The sequence below is a fragment of the Homo sapiens genome, chromosome 5 (assembly GCF_000001405.40).
Source record: "Homo sapiens chromosome 5, GRCh38.p14 Primary Assembly".
NCBI classification, from domain to species: Eukaryota; Metazoa; Chordata; class Mammalia; order Primates; family Hominidae; genus Homo; species Homo sapiens.
In genome coordinates this window covers 76,625,363-76,648,321 of record NC_000005.10, presented here as the reverse complement: position 1 = coordinate 76,648,321, position 22,959 = coordinate 76,625,363, and the positions used below count along the sequence as shown (strand labels likewise).

Here is a 22,959-nt window from a genome sequence, read left to right as displayed (position 1 = left end):
CTAGGTTCTCCATTTGGTTTCTGTCTATATAAACAAACATAACTCTCTTAAAGGTGAAGAGAAAAAAAGGAGGCTAGTGAATCTTGGGACCCAAGGAACCTTACTACTAAGGTGGGGAAGGCCTCCTCGTTATTGCTGGGAGGGGGTCCAGCTACCTACTGGACCTCTCTTGATATCACTCTGGCTGGGAGAGTAGGGGTGCCTTCTTATTACTCCCCATGTGGCCTCCATTGACCAACTGAGGGGAAAGACCTCATTACAACTGGATGGTGTGAAGGTCCTGCCTCTCTGCCTTGGCTCCTCTCACACCACTCTAGCAGGGAGAGGGAGGGCTGCCACATTACTGCTCAGTGGGCACAAGATCCAGATTCTATAAGTCTGGGTGCCTTATTACAGTCCAGGAGGGTGGAAGTCCAGGCTCGCCATTCAGGCTTTGCTGCCTAGGTGGAGGCATTACAGTTTTTTTCGTTTGTGTGTGTGTGTGTGTGTGTGTGTGTGGTGTTTGGCTAGAGTAGAGCAGTTACTGTCTGAAATTATTTCTGTCTTGCTAGCCTGTTTCTTTCTTGGTCCTTTGGCTACAGAGAGCAGGCTTTCACTAGAGCCTGTATTAATCAGTTTTCACGCTGATGATACAGACATACCTGAGACTGGGAAGAAAAACAGGTTTAATGGACTCACAGTTCCATGTGGCTGGGGAGGCCTCACAATCATGGTGGAAGGCAAAAGGCACTTCTTACACGGTGGCAGCAAGAGAGAATGAGAAAGAAGCAAAAGTGGAAACCCCTTATAAACCATCTCATGAGACTTATTCACTACCACAAGAACAGTATGGGGGAAACCGCCCCCATGATTCAAATTATCTCCCACTGGGTCCCTCCCACAACATGCAAGAATTATGGAAGTTCAATTCAAGATGAGATTCGGGTGGGGACACAGAGCCAAACCATATCAGAGCCTGTACCCATTGGCATTTCTGGGTGGCCAGCCTCTCCAGCTCCAGGTCAGAAAAATATAAACAAAAAGAAAACTCAAAGAACTCACCACTATGTCATTCCTTGGGTCCCAAGGTTCACTACTTAGTCTGACTTTTTTCTCTTCACTTTTAAGAGTGTTATGTTTGTTTATATATAATATTGGAGGCTTTTAGTTGTATTTACGGAAGAATAGGGAAAAGAACATGCATTCCATTTCCCCAGAAGCAGAGGCAAGCCCAAATAATTTTTAAGTCCTTAAAGCTTACTATATTATTAAGGCTATGTGAATCTATTCCTTGACAAAATTAAAGATTTAAAAAAAAATCAGAAGTGTCAATGGTAGTTATGACTCAAGAGGATCAACTAAAAATTTATTAGAACTAAGAGTTCATCCTGGTGACTAGTTATAAAATGAATATAAAATTGATAAGTTTTCTACATGTCAAGAATAAACAACACAATAGAATAAAGATGTTATTCACAATAGCAGAAAAATATACATGAGTAAACTTAAATATAAAGGAATAAAATTATAATGGTACAGTTTGGAACAGATTAATAAATGGAAAAAGATTAATGCCTGAACTGTAAAGTTTATTATTATAAAGATGCCAATTGCCCTCAAAAAAAAACCTTAAACTTCAATGCAATCATTTAAAAACACAGGAATGAGTCTAGAATTCTATCAAATGCTTTTGCAGTAACTATTGAAAAGAGCACATGGGTTTTTCTCCCTTAAGCTCTTATGGTGATAAAGAATTATACAGGAAGATGAATTATTATCTGGAGTTTTGAAACTGGAGTGATCTTAACGGTGCTTCTCAAACTTTAATGTGAATATAAAATCATCCGAGGATCTTGTCAGAATGCAGGTTAGGATTCAGTAGGCCTCGGGGAAGGCTTGAGATTTTGTACTTTTACCAATCTTCCAGGCAAAGAGAGCATTGGGTATGTGTTCACACATTAAATGATAAAAATGTAAATAACCAAAATAAAAAATTTTAAATTAATTATCCGTTTAGAAAATGCTACCCCATGGGATTTGTCACAGTGTGACAATTCTGAGATGGGCAAAATTCTCTGATGTCACCAACAGTTGTTCATAAAAGTGGCCCAACAGCACAACAGAAACTAGGGGAAGTGGACCCTAATCGTGGGTCACTGGGATTCCATGGCAGTCCAACCAGTAAAACATGTGTTGTGATGGATCTTAACAGTTCCTATATTTTGGTGGTTAACACTGGTTTAAAGCAGAGAAGTGCAATTGTTTGAATGTATATTATAAATTCCACTCCTTCCTTAGTCCATACTGAAAGGCTAAACAAGATAATTGGAATTAGCTCAAGTTCCTATTCTGCTCTTCTGGAATTACCTAAACTCCAAAAACACTTAATTTCAATTATCTGAGATTCGCAAACATTCTGAATAAGTGACCTGTCATAGTAACAGATTATTTAATATTGAATCATTCCTGCATTGGCAAAATTACCCCATTCGTCCATTCTGTTTTTTTTTTTTTAATATACTAAGGATTAACTATTTACCTTGAGAGCTCATTATTATGTTTCATCTCATAACTATTTATGTAAAATTTTCTGGTATTCTTCTATATTTATGAGTTTTTTTACGTTTCCAAACAAAGGCAGCTTGGCTGGGAATATAATTTTTTTGCTCCTGGATATGAAGAGACACTTCTCAAAAGAAGACATTTATGCAGTCAACAAACATGAAAAAAAGCTCATCATCACTGGTCATCAGAGAAATACAAATCAAAATCACAATGAGATACCATCTCACGCCAGTTGGAATGGCAATCATTAAAACGTCAGGAAACAATAGATGCTGGAGAGGATGTGGAGAAATAGGAATGCTTTTTACACTACTGGTGGGAGTGTAACTTAGTTCAACCATTGTGGAAGACAGTGTGGCAATTCCTCAAGGATCTAGAACCAGAAATACCATTTGACTCAGCAATCCCATTACTGGGTATGTACCCAAAGGATATAAATCATTCTACTATAAAGACACATGCACAAGTATGTTTACTGCAGTGCTGTTCACAATAGCAAAGGATTGGAACCAACTCAAATGCCCATCAATGACAGACTGGATAAAGAAAATGTGGCACACATACACCATGGAATACTATGCAGCCATAAAAAAGGATGAGTTCACATCCTTTGCAGGGACATGGATGAAGCTGGAAACCATCATTCTCAGCAAACTAACACAGGAACAGAAAACCAAACACCGCATGTTCTCACTCATAAGTAGGAGTTGAACAATGAGAACATATGGACACAGGGAGGGGAACATCACACACTGGGGCTTGTCAGGGGGTGGGGAACTAGGGGAGGGATAGCATTAGGAGAAATACCTAATCTAGATGGTGGGTTGATGGGTGCAGCAAACCACCATGGCACGTGTATACCTATGTAACAAACCTGCACATTCTGCACATGTATCCCGAACTTAAAGCATAATAATAAAAGAATTTTTTTGTTCCATAGAAGCAGAATACTACATGCCTCATCTTTCATTTGCCAAAATTCTGTTTTTCTTTTTTTAGTCTGTAAGTTTTAGTTCCTTTGAGATGAGCTTTTCCTATTATGTCCTAACAACAGAACTCTTGTGCATAGCCATGACATTGTAATCTCTTCTCTAATTAGAGGCTGTTTATTATAAGCAAATATGGGTATACAGTTGATATAAAGAAACTTTGAAAATTACAGACAGATGGGATTTACAGGCCAGGTGTGGTGGCTTATGCCTATAATCCCAGCACTTTGGAAAGCCGAGGCAGGCAGATCACTCGAGGCCAAGAGTTCAAGACCAGCCTGGCCAACATGGTGAAATTCTGTCTCTATAAAAAATACCAAAATGAGCTGGGTGTGGTGGCGCATGCCAGTAATCCCAGCTACTTGGGAAGCTGAGGCATGAGAATCACTTGAACCCAGGAGGTGGAGGTTGCAGTGAGCTGGGATGGTGCCACTGCACTCCAGCCTGGGCGACAGAGCAAGACTCTGTCTCAAAAAAAAAAAAAAAAAAAAAAGGATTTACAAAAATGGCAGTCTCATTCTCCTGCCTGGTATGGGAACTTGTGGGAAAATTTATAATAGCCATCTTATTTGTTTTGTTTTCTAGTACCATAAATATATTTTCTGTGCAGAGTATCTGTATAAAAGAAGTCTGTCAAAACGCTTAGACCTCAGAGGTCATTGCTCTATTTTATAGACTTTAACTATTACTCTCTGGGAAATCTGGCTTGATACACTGGCTGCTATGCTTGATAACTGGACACTCAGTATAGAGATATTCAAATTACCAATGCCAACTTCTGATGCACAGAATACTTGTGTGATCTCGGTTAGCCAAGAAAGCCCTAAACATTTACCTCTTCTCCCTCTCCTCAAAGGTAAAAAAAATCCAGCCATCTATAAGAGCAGTCGGTTACATTAAAACAACTGAGGACCGACTCTCCCAGGCCATCCCCTTCCTCTTGGCCCACAGACTCTGCCACTGCTCCTGGCGAAGTGAAGTTCCTTCAGAGTAGCTTGTTTTTCTTCACCAGGATGCTTGTGGCACTCCCTGAGCTGAAGTTCAATAATTCATTAATTCTCAGGGCTAAGTTTTGGTGTTTGCCACTATTATGTCCTTTCCTAAAAAGTAGTATACTAGCTTTCTTCAGTTCATGAAAAAAACTTCCTCCTGTAGTTACCTACTCTAATCCTATTTCATTTTTTTCTGATGTTTTCCTGTGCCACACCAACAATATCAATATTGGATCCCCATTATCTGCCTTCTGAGTCATTATCTCTATCATCTTACCATTTCTAAAGTTTATCAAGCACTTGAGAAGCAAATACTAGGAAACATCTGTTATGTGAATTATTCCAGTCAGTCTTCACCACCCTGCAATAAAATGGGCATTATATTTTTCAGATGAGAAAGTGTGTTTTTAGTCATCTATTCTTTCTCTCATCTTTTGTGGATTTTTCTGAAGTTTTTTGTGTCTGCTCCAATTATGTTCAGTGTCTAATTTGCATTCTGCAGTTATAAATTCATTTACATTCTATAACATCATTATTTCTCTTCCTCTCCTTAGCTGTCAGCTGTCTTTTCATTTTATTATTCTATTGTCTTCTTATTTCATTAAGTCCATGTCTTATCAAATTCCTTGACAGTATAAAGCAGCTTCAGTATAAAATTTTCTCCTGTCTTCTGGAAGAGTAACTCTAGATATCTACTCCACTTATATTTTACAAGTTACATTCCTTTTTCTATTTCTGATATAAAATCTTTTTTGTTTATGAACAGATTTTTTTTTCTGGCTCACTCAGGCAATTTTATCGGGGACTTCTAACTGCTCAAAAATAATATGGCTATGTAGATTCTCCTTGACTTCCTCTATATTGACCTGGGCACCTCCCAGTTAACTCCATAAGCACTTGAGACAGAATGCTGGATGTTGATCATGCTGCACATTCTCTGTACCACTACTCATTTCCTTGGCAGACCACTGATGGCAGGGAGGGTGGTGTAGCCGGAGTATAGCTGGCCTCGGCCTAGGAGTTTTGCCTTTGTATTTCTCTCCAAATGTGTTAAGACTACTGTGTCTGGGGGGCAGTTCAGCCAGCTAGGAAGCTCACAGTGTTTTACGTAGGGGACCTTCTCAGATATCAGAACATTTTCCTACTTGAAGGTGAACCAGCCACTTTGGTGAGAAATGAGATTAGCATGACACCTTTTGGTTCACAGTCTCTTGGTTTTATGGGTCAGCAGGTTCCTATTAACTGTATTATTCACTTCTGGTCCACATCTGTAAAGTAGGCTTACCTTTAGGCCTCATGCCCTCTGTTTTGGAAAATTGTCAGAAGACTGAAAAAAAGGCGTGGTGAGGTGACTTCATGGTTTGATGGCTGCTTCGTCAATTCTTTTGCCTCTGCTGAGGTGGAGGAAAAAGGCTCCAAATGATCGTTCCTGTCCTTACCCCATTTCTCTCATCCTTCAGCCCTGGTTTCTAATATAGAGGGATTCTGTACTGGTGGGCTCTGTGGTATATCTTCCAACTGCAACACTGCTGTGTGACCTGAGACTGGAGAGTGTGGGGTCCCAATTTTATATTGGCTGACACGTGAAATTTGTGCAAAATTAGAGTCTCATCAGTGTAGATGACTATTTTTAGGCTTTTGTTCACTTCCTGTGTGTTTTGCCTACTATTTGTTTAAAGGAATACATTGTAAACTCATTGGCCCACCTAGAAAAATCCTTTGAGTGTCAGATTTATAGTAGAAATTTCTTTTATAAAATTAATTATTTCTGCTTTGCTAATAATATCTTAAGCTCCAAGCAAATTTAAATATGTAAGCACCTATCATGTGCAAGATACAAGAAGACAAATGTTTGTAAAATTCATTTTCTGCCTTGGACATTACAGTTAGGTGGGAAAAGCAGATGAGTTCACCAGTGACCACACAAAAAAGAAGGTCTTCAACAGAAAAATGTTCAATTTAGGAAACTTCAAAGTAAAAACCCATCAGCATCAGACTTTACCAGTTGTTAATAATACCCCTTTGAACTCACAATAAAAAGAACAAACTCACAGCCTTTCACAAACCAGTGTGGTGACTGGTAGGGGGCGCTATAGGAATACAGAAGAGAAACATCTAAACCTGGCAAATTCTCCTGCCAATCAGAAAGTTTAGACAAGTCATGCAAACTTAAGAACAATTTATAGCAAAAAAATTGGGAATGAAGGTTTCTCCTGAAGGCCTAAATGAAGAGTGACAGATTACAGAAGGTAGAAGACATTCTTAGAGAGGCTAAATCTGTTTATTTCATTAGTTCTCCTGTTCTTTCAGGCTAGAACAGCACAGAAACTAAGACGCCACTCAACATCTACTAACCACAAAAAAGCCAAATTGTAAAGTCCCCAAGTCAGGTATGATTTCAACTCTGATCCAAGGTATATCCCTTTGGGTCCAACTAGGTTGGCAGCAGGTGGATCTGTGCAAATCTGCGGTGCTCCTAAATGCTCTCTAGAAGACCATAGGTTAAGTCATTCATCATCAAAATGCTTCCTATTTTAAAGCCTTAGTGAAGTAGACTAGGGGCACTGATTATGTAAAAATATGCAGTCAGATTTGTTTATAGGAATGCTGGTAGTTGACTATTCTATTATCAAATAAAACATTTTCAGGTGATATGACAGTTTTGTGTAAACAGTGGCAGGTGATCCACATACCTGTATTTTGACCACATTCTCTTCTTGTTCATGCAAAAATGATTTTCTAGCTTCAAACTCTTCCCTAAGGATGGGTCCTGAGCTTGTGGCTTGAAAGCGAAGAAGCAACTCTTCTGAAGCAGACCATATATTCTCACGAATGTAACCTACTGTGACTTCCTCAATAATGTCCTGGCAAGAGATATTTCTTATGGTTACACTTCACACATCAGCTGAAAGGCACACATAGAATAGCTTCTGATATTTTATCTTTTAGAAAATAATATGGATGTCTCCTTTTGGCTTGGTTTAAAAACAAATTTAAGCAGAGCTGAGGGATGAAACTGGCTTAACTTCTTTCTAGCAATATGATTTTGGAATCTCTGAGCTTGGTGCTGAGGTGGCAAGAGAATGCAGCTCAATGATCTCAGGATTTGGAGGCAGAGATGTATGGATGATGCTGGCAAGGACCAGGCATGAGGCCTGAGCTCCACAGAATGTAAAGGGACAAGGATGCTTGCTGTAAAAACATGCATCACCTCCCGCTTCCCTCGGACTGCCAAGGAAAAGACTGCAATGGCCATAAGGTCCTCAGACTTCTTTCCCATTTCTTCCCCAGGCCAGAGTAGGCAGACCCCTGTAACGAGCTGTGGCCAAACTCAGAATGATGCTCTGGGGCAAAAGACAAAGGGGTGGGAGAGGCAAGATAAGTGCTATTAAGGATAGAGAGCAGAAATCTAGAAGAATGAGAAAAAAGGAAGAAGGGGGTTATAAGAAAGTTTCATGTGGGGTATGAACAGGGTTTACTTTTATGCCCGATGAGAGATGCAAAGAAAGACTGGACTGTCACTTCTACAGCTGATGACTCTTATCTAGTACAACTGGAATTAATGGTTGGTTAACTTAAAGAGCTAAAAGTGAAATCATACCAAAGATGCATACATATCTTTAAGAGAAGACATATATGTATGCATTCATTGAATAAAACAGGTAACTGGATTCCAGTTGTTTAGAATAAATACAATTTTTTATAACAGTGTTAGACCTTCCACTGGTTAATAATCTTAACAGACTGATGCTTGATATAACAAAAAGTTATACCTGGGGTATATCTTGGGATGCCACATGATCAATTTTTATTCTAAATTTTAAATCTTCGATGCTGCTGCTTTATAGTTTGATACATCTTTTCAACCATGGCATATAAATTTTTAGTATGTCTATAATTTCATTTTTTTCTTCAAAATTAGCACTAATAATCCATTGCTACAATGTCGTTTTCCTAAAAGTTGTACGACCTCTGAACAACTGAAATGAGTCAATAAACTGTGTTCTTCACTATCTTCTTGTCATTAAGTATTTTTGGTAGCATTGGTCAGACTCAGATCATGTTTTTTTCCTCTAAGTTTTAGTAAATACTGCATTGGTGATTCTGTCTGCAATACTGCCACACTGCGATATCTTTGATGCTGACTTTTAACGATTCTATAAGATATGTGTTCTTGTTTTTTCCCAAAATAGAACTTAATTATCATCAGTATTTCCTCTTTAAACATATTATGACGCGTGGATCCATTATCAGCAGGTTTCACATCCTTTGGGTCCAACTTTTGTTTTTGTTTTTAAATCCAAAGCAATGTTGGTGAATATTCCTTCAAGAGTATTCCTCCTAGGAAGCATTACTCACTTTTTAAAGTACCTATGTATTTCTTAAGCCACCAACTTATGTTATTAATTCCAGAGCAATGGGCACATGATATAACCACTCAGAGATACCGGTGACTGTGTCAAAAACAATGCAAAAAGTGGAAAACATACTAGACTAGAAGTTGGAAGCACTGGAAATAAATCTGTTTATTGACAAAATCTACACAAATTGCAGAATTAGTACAAACTGCTTCACCTACTCTGTGCCCCAATTTCCTCACTTAGAAAAATAGAAGATGAGAATATTTGCTCTATCTCTACTTAGAGGATAATTTAGGGATCAAAGTGATGTGAAAGTACATTGGAAAGTGAAACTCCATACAAATGAGGGGTACTTGGCTATGTTTATGGTTTCAGGAGACCTCATTCGCAGTTCTACACATTCTTTGGGTATTTGTAGAGACACCAGTTGGAAAGGTTACTTTTGGCCATAACTTGTTTCAGACATCTTGCTACAAGGGTTGATTCCAATTTCACATTCCTCTGACTTTACCCCCTCCTGTTTCTTCATGGCTGCCCACCAACTTCAGACAAAGCAAAGAACCACCTCACAAACAAGGCCATTCGGCAAGATCTACCTCACTACCTGTTTATAGCTAAGTCTTTTGTTTCAGGAAAGCCTCACCAAGCATTTAGTTCCCTATTCCCATGTTGCAAGAAAACATTCAGATCTAACAAAGCCATGATTATGCAAATAATCTATTGTCAAAGTGCTCCTCTCATTCCTCTATGTAGGGAGGGGCAACTAAAAAATGAATGAAATTCAGTGACCTAGAACTGAAACTGAAAATAGCTCTTTTGGCTGTACTTTTTCTCCTAGCTTTGCTCTTGTTATCTTTTTTTGTAAATACTTCAGCCCTGGGCTCCTATATATATAAAAATTGCTGAATATTTGGGAGGGAATTAGGACTACAATGGACAAGGCACATGGGGGAATCAGGAGGACCCCTGAGACTCCAGCCAGTCTTGTTTATAACGAGAAAAAGCATCTGAACCTGAGATTCTAACGCAGACTTTTCTGGGCTTTTTTCCCTCCCCGGGACAGAGTGTAGCTCTTGTCGCCCAGGCTGGAGTGCAATGGTGCGATCTTGGCTCACTGCAACCTCCATTTCCTGGGTTCAAGCAATTCTCCTGATGCAGCCTTCCAAGTAGCTGGGATTACAGGTGCCCGCCACCATGCCCAGCTAATTTTTGTATTTTTAGTAAAGATGGGGTTTCACCTAATGCAGACTTTTCTAAATGAGTTTCTTCTTTTATTTAAAATAACAAATGTTCCCCCAAAAAGAGAAACAAAAACTAACAAATGTCCTAATAGTCAATAATGACACTATGTTCACTAATGCACTATTTCTTTACTCCTAACAAGAAGCTCAAACAGGTACTATTTATATAGTTTGGTTAAAAAGAGATGAGAGGAGGGACAAATTGCTTTCAATAAGTAAAATCTGGTAGAAGAAAGCTTTCAAATATGGGTCACAGATTAGTTAAAAGGGACCTTTAGTAGTTAAATAGAAATTCCAGTTCAATGTATCTTGTTTAACTCTTGGTTAGTACAATACATGGACACATGGCTAATTTTTATGTCAGTTAATTGAAAGCAAAGTATAAGATACACTCAATTGTGATGTTTGCACTTACATTTGGACATGGGTACATCCAGATCTCTAGAAATGTTAAGCAATGAAAACATGCTAAGATGACCATCTCGGAAGAAGCAAACATTTAATGTTTACCCATCCTGCTCTTTGCCCAACTCTGTTCTTTGCTTCCGAAGCTGTCCTGGAGATGGCTGGGGCCATGTGTGGCAGAGATGCCCTCTCCAGCACTTTGTAGAAAAAAATGACATTTTGGTTTGAAAGGTACAATGTTAAGTTGCAGGCTGAGATGGGGGGAAAGAAATACCTTTTAAATATTGACAACCCAGGAATTATCATTAATTGAGCTTAATTAAGTCAAGGAAAATCTTAAGATTGATTTCTTAGGATAATCTACCATCCCAAATAAATAGTGAAATATTTCTTCCCCCTGCTCTATTTGGTTTTGTTAAGCCAATATGGAAAAAATTCTGTACATTAGTAACAATGCAGCCACATTCAACTGCAGTTCATGAAGACTTTATTACATATCCAGACTTCAGATAAATCAGTTAGTTCCTCTCATCACTTCCATGATTCAGAAATAGAAAACCAGTCAAATTTAACTTTATACAGTAGAGTTATCCATCAAACACCAACCTCCTACCTCGATTTCTTTTCCTGTGAGCCATGATTCTTTATACAAGCATGATTCAGGTGTGACCCAGGAACTCTCTTTTGAATCAGTGTTGTAATAGTAGTCATATTTTTTGTGCAGGTTGAGTTTGAGCCATGAACCGTCACTAGACACTAAAGAAAAAAGTTTGTTAAATTCTACACAGACACAGTGAACCCTTAAACATTAGTGTAGTTTCTTTAATATGTAAAATAATTGAATATGTTTTTCACCAAACCTTCAGACAGCCAAAGGCATCAGAAGTGACCCACTAACATGGAATGAATTCGATGTATTTAATGGCAGATGCCTGCTAACCCAAAGAAAAGGAAGAGACACAAATATCTAAGGCTAGCTCTGGAACTTAAATCTTTCATGAGGATGATAAAAACATGTTTGGCCAAAAGCAGCCAAAGAGAAGGAAAAGCAAACAATAATTATAAGTCCCAGGTAGATGCAAACAACACATGTAGACAAAGGAGACCAATCGGCAAGATCCTCTTTGCTTACAAAGTTTACCTGCAATTTCTCCAATAAGGAGATACCCACAAGGACTGTGGCCCTTATTTAAGGACGGCCAATGTTCGGCATTAAACCAAAGCAGAACCTTTGGAGACAACGTTACTCAAAGTACAAAATGGCATATGCACAACACAAAGGTCAACTAAAGTGGGGAAAAAGAAAATTCCTGGTTCCTCTGACTCATTTTGTGCTGTGCAACCACAAGAAATGAGAAAAAAATTTTTTTGAAACTTAATTTTGGGGAAGGGGTGTTAGAAAATCCTATGGTAGTCATGACTTAGATTGGTCAAGAATCTCTCCTCCTCATGAATCCATGGGCTAAACTTCATATTTAGAAATCTGTTTATTTTGTTGAATGGTTACAATTCTGGTCCCCAGACCTGAGAGCTAAAAACAACAGAAAAACATAAGAAGTTCTAACTTAGACTAAGCTAAGTCAACTGTATCAAGTGAGCATTAGACTCATTATCTTTCCAGGTAAATCAGAGTTCAAGTGAATTTTTTCACAGAATATTGAAATGCATGTAAATAACTAAGCAGGGGTAACTTTAAGGCTCTTTAATATGTGTTGATGCTTCATTTGGCTTTAAATGCCCCTCACCTGTTCTTTCTGTTTGTCAATGCCCAGGAAGAGAGATGTATCTCTTTTCAATGGGCAGCCAGACAGCTGGTTCATCTGTTTAGAAACATTGGTCTACTAGAAAATACATTGTACAGTCAAGTTAGGATGTTTACAAGTAATTATTATTCTTTCTTCCTTCCTTTCCCTCCCCCTACCCTCCTCTCCCCTCCCTTCCTTCCTTTCTTTCTTGCTTTTGAGACAGGGTCTCACTCTGTCACCCAGGCTGGAGAACAGTGGTGTGACCAAGGCTCACTGCAGCCTCAACCTCCCCAGGCTCAGATGAGCCTCCAGAGTAGCTGGGACCACAGGATCATGCAACACCTGGCTAATTTTTTGTATTTTTTTGTAGAGATGGGTTTTGCCATGTTGTCCAGGCTGTTTTCAAACTCCTGGGGTCAAGCAATCCGCTCACCTCAGCCGCCCAAAGTGCTGGGATTATAGGCATGAACCACCACAACCAGCCAATTATGATATTTTCAATTACCAATAGTTGTCAGATTCATAAATGTTTTCAGAAGAATAATCACCCTTCTTAAGGCAACTGTCTCAGTGGGAAGGAAAGAAAGCAAGCAAAGCTGGTGAAAATGTTTCTCCCGTCACTTGAACTGAGAAGTAAAAAATTTGTTAGTTGGTTAAAAGACAATCACCAATGGTCAATTCACTTGAACTTTGATTTACATGGAAAGGCAATGAGTCTAAAGCTCACTTGATAGCAGCTGACTTAGCTTAGTCTAAGTTAGAACTTCTTATATTTTTCTGTTGTTTTTAGCTCTCATCCAAATATGACACGTGGGAAAAGAAGCAGGCAAGTTTAGGAGAGAGAAGATAAACTAAGTTTTTTCCAGGATGAATATGAAATTAGGATAGCTCATTAATACAATTATGTAATTCTTTCCCAATGAAGGATGAGACAGGGGACATTACAGTAATTCCTGATGAAGAGATCTGAATGGCATTAGAAGGCTTTACTTGGGTTAGGATGTCAGTAGGTAATAGGAAAGTAGAATTCCTACATTTTTCACATCTAGTTTGAATGTAGTTAGATCAGAGGCTGAGGAGAGCTACTTTCCAGCATGGGCTCCAAATAGTTTTCCTAAGAAATACAGTTGGTTTGTTACTTAGAAAAAAGACTGATTACAGTTAGTTAAGAGGTGATGAACATTCCACAAGGAGGCATACTTTTTAGATGCCTTGCAGACAAAATTATACGCGAACATATAGAAGCGTTAAACTGAGTTACAAGGCTGAGTAATCCATCCACCAAATGGTAGATGTTTCAGTTTGGGAAAAGATAAGACATCCTAGAACCAGAGGTGAAAGAGATAAGAATAAATCATCCTGTGCGTGCCTGAAAACAATGCTCATAGCTCTATCTGGAGGTGAGAATCAGTCTTTAATTGCTTGGGATGCTCTTCTTTCTAGAACAGGGGTTGGCAAACGTTTTCCGTAGAGTCAGAGAGTAGGGGCTGGGTGCAGTGGCTCATGCCTGTAATCTCAGCACTTTGGGAGGCCGAGGCAGGTGAATCACTTGAGGTCAGGAGTTCGAGACCAACCTGGTCAACATGGTGAAACCCCGTCTCTACTAAAAAATACAAAAATGAGCCAGGCATGTTGGCAGGTAACTGTAATGCCAGCTACTCGGGAGGCTGAGGCAGAATTGCTTGAACCCAGGAGGCTGAGGTTGCAGTGAGCCAAGATTGCCCTGCTGCACTCCAGCCTGGGTGACAGAGTGAGACTTCATCTCGAAAAGAAAAAAAAAAAAGGCAAATATTTTCAGTTTTGCAGGCTATGGGTCTCTGAAACAACCACTCAGCACTACCACTGCAGCAGGAAAGCAGCCATAGACCATATATAAATTAATGTGTGGCTGGATTTCAGTGAAACTTTATTTATTAAGGCGGATGGCAGCACAAGAAATTTACTAAAAATGATTAGAATGAGTTCAGCAAGGTTGTAGGATACAAGATCAATATACAAAAATCAGTTGTACGAAAAGATATATCCATGAAAAAACCTGGACATGAATATTCATAGCAGTCTCATTTAGAATAGCCAAAAGTTGGGGGGAGGGGGTGGCGCAGAATACAGGTTCCATCAGTTGATGGCTGGGTAAACAAAATGTGGCATATTCATACAATGGAATATTAGCCACAAAAAAGGACGAACTGACTAATGCTACATGAATGAACTCTGAAAATATTATGCTAGGTAAAAGAAGCCAGGCACAAAAGGCTATGTATTGTATAATTCTGTTTACATGAAATGTCCAAAATAGGCCAAAGACAGAAAGTAGATTAGTAGTTGCCTGGAGCTGGGGAGTGGGTGATGGGGATTTACTGCTAATAAGTATTGGGTTTTGTTTTGGTGTGATGAAAATGTTCTGGAATTAACTAGAGGTGTTGGATGTACAACCTTGTGAATATACTAAAAACCTCTTAATTACATACCTTAAAAGGACAATTTTATGGCATATAAATTATTTCTCAATAAAAAGTCAATCGTATATCTATAAACTAGCAATAAACAATCCCAAAATATAATTAAAAAACAATATTTACAATAAAATAAAAATGATAAAATACTTAGGAATAAATTTAATGAAACAAATGCAAGCCTTATATGCAGAAAACTACAAAAAATTGTTGAAAGAGTTTTAAACTTGATTAAAAGGAAAGATACCCATGTACATGGATCAGAATATTGTTAAGATGGCAAGACTTCTCAAATTTACCTACAGATTCAATATGATCTCAGCTGACAAAAGTCTTGCTGCCATTTTTTTCTTCCCAGAAGAATGAATCTAAAGCACTTCCTAGGTTTCTGAATTGGATACACAGGGATTTGACTATAGTCACCCAAATATGACATGTGGGAAACGACATAGCAAGTTTAGGAGACAGAAGATGAACTAAGTTTTTTCCAGGATGAATTTGAAATTAGGATAGCTCATTTATACAATTATGCAATTCTTTCCCAATGAAGGATGAGACAGGGGACATTACAGTAATTCTTGATGAAGAGATCTGAATGGAACAGAGAGGGACTCAAGGGTGACCAGATGCCAAGTAAGAGAGTGGTCATTTCATTAACAGAAAATTAACTGAATTTTAAGGTGGAATCTCCAAGTTGGAAATATATGAAACTTGAAAACAAGTACATAGAGTACTACTAGACAAACATCAAGTTGGACTAAAAAAGTTTTTTTTTTTCCTTAAGCTCTACTTCTAAGGCCACACACTGTCACACTAGTTTCTTAAAGATGAATAGTATCCTGTAGATGACCTACAATGTGGTACAAATAAATACTAGCCTAGAAGTTGACAGCCACCTTGATCCTTGACACTAGGAAATAGTAGGTGCTTAATAAAAATCTACTAAAGGAATTCTGGAATAAAAATTAATTGTCCTTGGGTCTACCATTCTTTCCCTCTGTCTGAAATCTTACCAATGTGAACTTCCAAATCTGAAAAATGAGTATCAAACTGTGTAGTCTCAAAGATTCTTTCCAGAGCTAACAATGTAGGCTCTGCCATTGGATTGAGTAGGCATAACTAGTTGCCTAGCTTTGCCAACTGATCCCTTGCAGGCTGGCTCATTGTACTTTATTTCATATATTCAGAATTACTCTTTACCCCTACTTAATACTGTGCAATCACAAAGGATTAGGTGAGAGAAAATATTAGTGTAAACATCTGTTTATATCACTGGTCTACTCACACGAATAAATGAATCAATAAGCATGACCTGTATAAGGCACAGACTCCTCAAATATGACATTTTCTTAATGCCATCCATATATTGCCACTGAGCTCATCATAGCTTTCTAAAACTAAAAAGAAACATCTAAAACTTTTCCTAATTTCCTTAGCCATAGATGACAAAAAATTACAGAAATGTTAATTTGAAAGCATTACTTGTCTTAAAATTAAGAAAATATAATACCACAGAAATGATATTTAAAATACTTAGTTTGTGCTAAAGTAACAAACCAACTTACCTCTTTCAGATTTGAGCTCTTTTGCCTTCACAAGGGCATCATAGTATTTGTCAGCACACTCCGGGATTATGTCATTTGCATTAGAAGTGGAAGACTTCAATACAGACAAAATATCACTTGATTTTTTTCCTTCCAAACACTGATTAACATCAACCACCAGAGTAACCCCTGGGTAATTGAAAAAAAAGTTTCTTGTTAATGGTTATCTTCCACTTACTTCAAGGCATGCAAATATATAATTCAACGTTTTAGGAATGCATTAGTATCAAACATTTTTACCCTTTGAGAATATTTACCACATATGCCCAAGACAATCACAAATTCACAGACCAGTTTAGTCCATAAGAAGAATTAGATACCATGGGAGTATGGTTTATTAAAAACAATAGTCTTTCCTGGTTACTCATATGTGGTATGAAGGCACTAGGTTTTGCTTGCTGTAGTAATCTATGAAATGGGGTGAATACACACGAACATAGATATGTAGCTGTAACCTAGGGCATTAGCATGTATTTGAGAACTAGTTTTACAAAGACATTTGTTTACTTTAGGATAAGCAAAATCCTTTTTAAGTTACAGAAATCCTGGTATTCTCTTGTATAGTGCTAATATATTTAGCAAGATTGTCAAAAACAACCTAAACAAGTGTTCTAGAAAGGCAGAGCTGGTGGATATGTGCAACGGAGTCCTAAAACTTAATTCTGGAACCATTTTAGACCTAACAAGCATTTTATCCCATTGCAAATTTCTACCCCTCCTCATTAACAAAACACATTAAACTCTTGGTTGCCTAAGGAAAGTTAACTTAGTGAATTATTTCCCACCTTAATTCCAGGTAAGAATGTCCAATCGATAGGACTAGAGTTTTCACAACCAGTAAATGCACTGAGTTAGAAAAGTAGAACCAGAAAAATGAAAGAGGCCAAGTTAAAATACTTCCTACATGAAAAACATCTTGAGGAAAAGAGAAGGGAGACACGGATGCTTTCTCTTTTTTTCTTACACGTACATCAAACTCTACAAATATTAAATTACAATTCGTTGTCATCAAATTATGTTCACATGTGCATAGCACTATGAGGGTTAAAGGAGAAAGAAAAACAGAGATTGACTTTCAACAACCTGGAGTCAAAGTCATGCAAATCTGGAGGGGCACATATAGATGAAGGGGAGAACTTCTCAGGCAAACTCCAGTGGTTGTTGAACAAAAGGTATGGCAGCATGTTCTTATGCTAACAGAGGTTAATAGAACATGGGTAGACATAGCCCTTTCCTCTTCTCCAGGAAAGCTTTGTAGGATAGAGAAAATAAGAGTACTGGCAATTGAGAAGTTTGTGGTCCAAGAAAAGTAATAGGAACAAGAAAATGACAAAAATTATCACATGAACTACATGTGACAGTGTCATCTAACCCAATAAAATGCAATTTTCCTTAAAAGATATTACAAAAGGCACACATTTCTTGGATATATCATCATTGAGTATCGATGAGCTGGTTCACAGGTCAATTTCCAGATAACTGAAGCTAATTCCTTTATGGATCAACTCTCATCTTAATAGAACCATTTTCGATGGAACTCTAAAACATGCCTTAGAGAAAATCCTAACAGGACAGCTGCTATTGCTCCTTATTTTACCCAAAGTCTATGGTATAAAGTAGGTGCTTAATGTCTGCTGAGAGCTGCCAGAAGAGTCCTTGTCATTAAAATTGTGCTGTGCTATAATCTGGTGAGTGTTATTTTCAAGGACTGTGGAGGTGTTTGGGCTTACTGGCTCCTGCACGAAATAGCCTTAATAACTCCTATGCTTCTTAGTTTTTCCTTCTTCCTTCACTGTCAGCTGTCACTTTTTACTGACATTGGTGTGCCTGCCTATGGCAGCTTAAGCACTTTACTGCCTTGTGACTTGTGGCTTCTGATGTGCTCTAAGTCACAACCAACCAGGAAAAGAAACTACCAAGATAATAGAGTTTTGCCTAAGAAAAGAATCAACAGGCTCAAAGTGTCTATCTGAGGGGTGCTCAGTGAATAAAGTAGATTAACTTCAATGCGCTTGCTTTGAGATATCTATTTTGATTGCTTTTTTTCTTAATCTGTGAGTTGTAGCTAAGTTCCAGATAGTTGAAGATATCAGATAGATGACTTTCACTCCAGAAAGTCAGGTATGTTTCTGCCAAGGAACAAATTAAGAAACCTCCATAAATCTCCTAAGAGATCCAAAAAATGTTTGCTTTACATCTTAAGCCATATACCAGCAGGCTCTCTTAAGGCACACATTCACAGTGGAGGTGATAGAACCCCTAACGGGGCAAAAATTAGTTCCTGCAGGGAGGGAGTGAAAAAAATCTCTTTATGTATAAAGTACAGGTCTACATATGGCACATAAACAGGTATACAAAATATCTGTGGCATTAAAATTTCATGGTAAGGAGTGATTAGAGAAAAAACTGTCTAAAAAGATTCCTTAGGGTGCCATAATGAGAAAAAGGTAGAGAAAGACTGCTCTAAGGAATCAAAAGTAGAGGCAAATCTACTTTAAGCAAGCAAGATACTCCAGTGAATGTGAACACTAGGCCAAAATGAAAGGGACTTGAGTTACTCTGCCCTTTTAAATTTTGCTGGTGGTAACATATTTGGGCCAACACATTTTCTTTTATCATATTATCTGAGAGTGTGTGTGATGCTTATAGTGTGTGACCAGAATCTATTTCAAGTCTTCATGCAAATAATGAAGAATGTTTTTAATCAAATTCTTGTTGAAAGTCAGAAAATTCTCATAGGTAGCATTAACTTTGGAAAATCTTTTTTGCTGTTTAAGATATAGTAAAAGAAAGTATATCGGCTCTTTAAGGGACAGGACAGAGTGAAAAGATAGGATTTTAGATGTGCAATACAGAGTACAAAATTATACATTTGAGAAATCCTCTTACTTTTATAGTCAATAGAACCATGAGTCTCAATGTGAAAAACAGAATCAACTTGACATTTGCAGGCCGAATGTAAGAACAATGAATATAAGAACATTTTAAAAACCTTCTAAATTGGTTTGATTTCTAAGAGACAAATCATAACCATCTTAGGCTATTTGAATGTCTAAATTACAATCTACTTTCTCAAAACTGTCTCTTCAGACCATGGCTTCCTTCAGTTTTATATTTAAGTTGAAATTTCTTATATACACACCTCCACTTCATTATTTTTTTCTTAAGGCGTGCTAGAAAGGAAAGACTTCAAAGTTCCTTAGGGAATAAAAGTTCAGGTTAGAGAAATACACACATTTTTCTAAGCTAAGGAGATAAAGCCCAGATGTTTCTCACAGATGCTTCCGAGGTTGAAAAGCCCATCTGTGGAGTAAGACAAAGTCATCTTAAGAACCTTCTCTGACCTGATACAACAGAATAGATTCTAATTATGCCATCAGTTGGCAGGTTAGTGAAATATATTTTTAGGAATCTTAATTTATATATGGAGAATGTTAGTATAGCAATTTAGAAGCTATTTCAGACTATCATGTGAATTTTCATGTTATTCTTCCTTAAAAACAGAGGGTTAAACAATTTTATCATTTGAACCAATGTGGGGATTCTGCCAGTTGCTGATTATGCCTATTCCGATTATGCACTCCAGAAGTGGGGAAGTAACCACAGAAAGAGTTTAGGGACCCACTGTGAGATGGATCTGAGCTAATATTCTATTCATCACCTGACCTCCACAAACCCCTACATTGACTGGTGGACCACAGTTATGTTTTGGGCCTCTTGGAATTAGTGTCAGTTCAGAGCAAGTGTCCACTAATTCCCAAAAGTCTGATTATGTACTTTCTCCTAAGTACAGTCACCCTGGTAAAAGGCCATAGGTCCCTTTGGGGGAGGGGTGGAAGAAAGACTAACAGTATAAATTTTTGGTAGTGTAGCTGAGTTTTTCCTCAAGGGGCCTGGCCTTCCCTTCATTTGAGGGGTTCTGGGTTTGTAAACTGGCCCCATTCTGGGAACTGATTGAGGGTCCATGACTATTTTTATGATTCAAGGTAGACTTCTGTTTGCTTGACCCAAAACTCATCCAGTTGTACAGATTAAGTAAGAATTGAGTAGACTGCCAGTCTATTTCACTTCTAGTTGCACCATGATCAGCTAGCCAACTCCATAGGTCTCCTATTGGTTCTGTTTCTGTGGAAAACCCTGGTAACTATAAAGGCCATGGAAAGGAGAAAAAGGCATTTATTAAGTAGAAATGGTCTAGTTCTCTAAAAATCAAGAGAAAAAAAGAATTTTATTCAATTATACAATTTGAGAGCTTAAAAACTATTTTTTACCTTCTGGATTTTGTTCAGCAACATTGTTACATTTTGTTGGAGATAGAGTCAAATCACTGACAATAGGGCAACCAACTAATTTCGGTATAATTATGTGTCCAAGAACTAAAACTTGGTAAGAATCCAAATCTTTCAGAAATTAAAAATCACATGACTTCAGGCACATAACCAAATCCAAAAAGGCAAGTTTCAAGAGCAAAGGAGGTGAGGGCTTACATTGTTTTGCTCTGTCCTTGTCCACGTTGGCATCATCGACGGCTTGCTGTATCTCATCCAGCCAAAGCACTTTGGAAACACTCTCAGAGTCCTGGGGACAATGTCACAGAATAAAAAGAAAGAAGAGTGAATGATGAGGAAACAGAATTAATAACTGCTTTTGAGGAGCCATTTAATCATAATTCCCACAAATTCTTAATCAGCAACTATCCAGCTCTGCCATATACTGTACACACTCCTAATGAAGCAGACCCCAAACCCGACCACTTCCTCCTTCTTCCCCACCACTCTTTAGTCCAGCCCCCCATCATCTCCCAACTGGACAGCTGCATCAGCCCCCTAGCAGCTTCTGCTGCATCTAAGCTTGCCCTCACCACAGTGGCCCTCTACAGAGGGCCCAGAGGATCCCTTCAAAATAGATAGCTCAGTGCACCACTCCTCTACTTAAAGCTTCCCCAAAGGCTTCCCCCGGCAGTTAGAAGGAAACACAGGGTGCCTTCTCAGGGATGGCGGGGCTCCAACGGCATGGCCCTGCCTACTGCCTCTCTGGCTGCACCTCACACCCGTTTACTTCCCCCTTCCTGTTCTAGACCTTCACACGAGTCTCTTTCAGACCACAATACTCTACCCTCACTGTGTGGCTGTTGGCTTTTTCTTACCATTCAGGTCTCAACTCAAATGCTACCTACTCCAAAAAGTCTTCCCGGGCTACCCTAGTCAAACACTCTCTCCCTCAATCAATTATTGTGGTTCCCAAACTAAGTGTCAAGGTGTCCCAGGGTACCATGGGATATTTTTAATTTGAGAGAAACACAGGGATCGTCGATATTTATCAGACACAGAGACAAAAATTAAAAACAAACAACAACATGGTGATTGTCCTCAAGGACCTAACAATGTAGTGTAAGAGACAGATGTGTCAAGACATATAGCTGGGCATGGTGGCTTACACCTGTAATCCCAGCACTTTGAGAGGCTGAGGGTGGTGGACCACTTGAGGTCAGGAGTTCGAGACCAGCCTGGCCAACATGGTGAAACCTCATCTCTACTAAAAATACAAAAATTAGCCAGGAGTGGTGGTGCATGCCTGTAGTCCCAGCTACTTGGGAGGAAGGCGGGAGGATTGCTTGAACCTGGTGGGTGGAGGTTGCAGTAAGCCAAGGTCAGGCCACTGAACTCCAGCCTTGGGACAGAGTGAGACTCTGTCTCACAAAAAAAAAAAAAAAAAAAGAAAAGAAGAAAAAAAAGAAAAAGAATTATAATACAATGTGATCAGGGCAATATATACTGCAGACACATGATCCAGACATAGGTGAGAAAGGGTTAACCTATGGTAAAGGTGTCAAGTTGCAGGGGGAGCAAAGACTAAGTAGTTAAAGATAGCTTTAGAAAGGAAGCAACAGCAGCAATGAAAATGTATTGCATTATTCCTATTATAGGTAAATATTCCTATTTAACTTTGGGTTGATTCTGATGGTCCTGCTACAAAAGCAGCCCTGACAGATATTAAGTGGAACTTCCAGGTAGCAATTGTGTTTTATAAAATCTTTTCTGAGATGGCAAGTAAATAATTATCAGCAGAGATATTTTCAGGAAACATGTGACATTTAACAAATGGGAACATTTTACCTATGTGTAGGAATAAGTGTCGTGTTCTAAATCCTAAGTCAAGACTGTGATGAATGAAAGGTAATGGATCTGGCACCGACTCCGTCATTTAAAACTTAAGATGGATGGGGGCAGGAAGGAGAGGAAATAGTCACTGGTTCCTCTGGCAGGCTTCTAACACTATTTTCCTCAGAGGTTAACGTGAGATAATGCATGTGGAAAGGGCTCTGAAAATGAGATAAACTATCTGTTATTTCATCGTGCAACATCTGGGCTAAAGGAGACCTCTGGGGAAGTGTTGGTGCCTGCTTCCACAATCACCTCTAGCTATGCGGCAGACTACAAGGGAAGCATCAGCAAGATTTTCCATTTCTTTCAAGAATGGATGGGGGAGGCTCAAACAGGAAGCCGGGTGGAAAGGGGAAGACTAGAGGAGGAAAAAAAGAGACAGGGAAGCAGGAGCTAATTTTTCTCTGTTTACAAGATCTAAGAGAACCCAACACTCCCCAGCTATAACCTAAAAACTAAGC

General features: G+C 38.6%; 1 protein-coding gene across 12 annotated transcripts in view; it reads right to left on the bottom strand.

Moving 5' to 3' along the window:
* The window catches only part of IQGAP2 (IQ motif containing GTPase activating protein 2), a 304,848-nt gene that overhangs the window by 59,811 nt on the left and 222,078 nt on the right, over positions 1 to 22,959 (bottom strand). For 9 of the 12 annotated variants that reach the window (NM_006633.5, XM_047416641.1, XM_005248410.4 and 6 more), the window contains 4 exons: positions 20,822 to 20,912; positions 16,296 to 16,463; positions 11,146 to 11,288; positions 7,219 to 7,389 (listed from right to left, as the gene is read on the bottom strand). In NM_006633.5, coding sequence (NP_006624.3) covers positions 7,219 to 7,389; positions 11,146 to 11,288; positions 16,296 to 16,463; positions 20,822 to 20,912 — 573 coding nt within the window. The remainder of the gene's footprint in view (positions 1 to 7,218; positions 7,390 to 11,145; positions 11,289 to 16,295; positions 16,464 to 20,821; positions 20,913 to 22,959) is intronic. The other 3 variants (XM_017008960.2, NM_001285462.2, NM_001285461.2) reach the window with 1 other exon arrangement.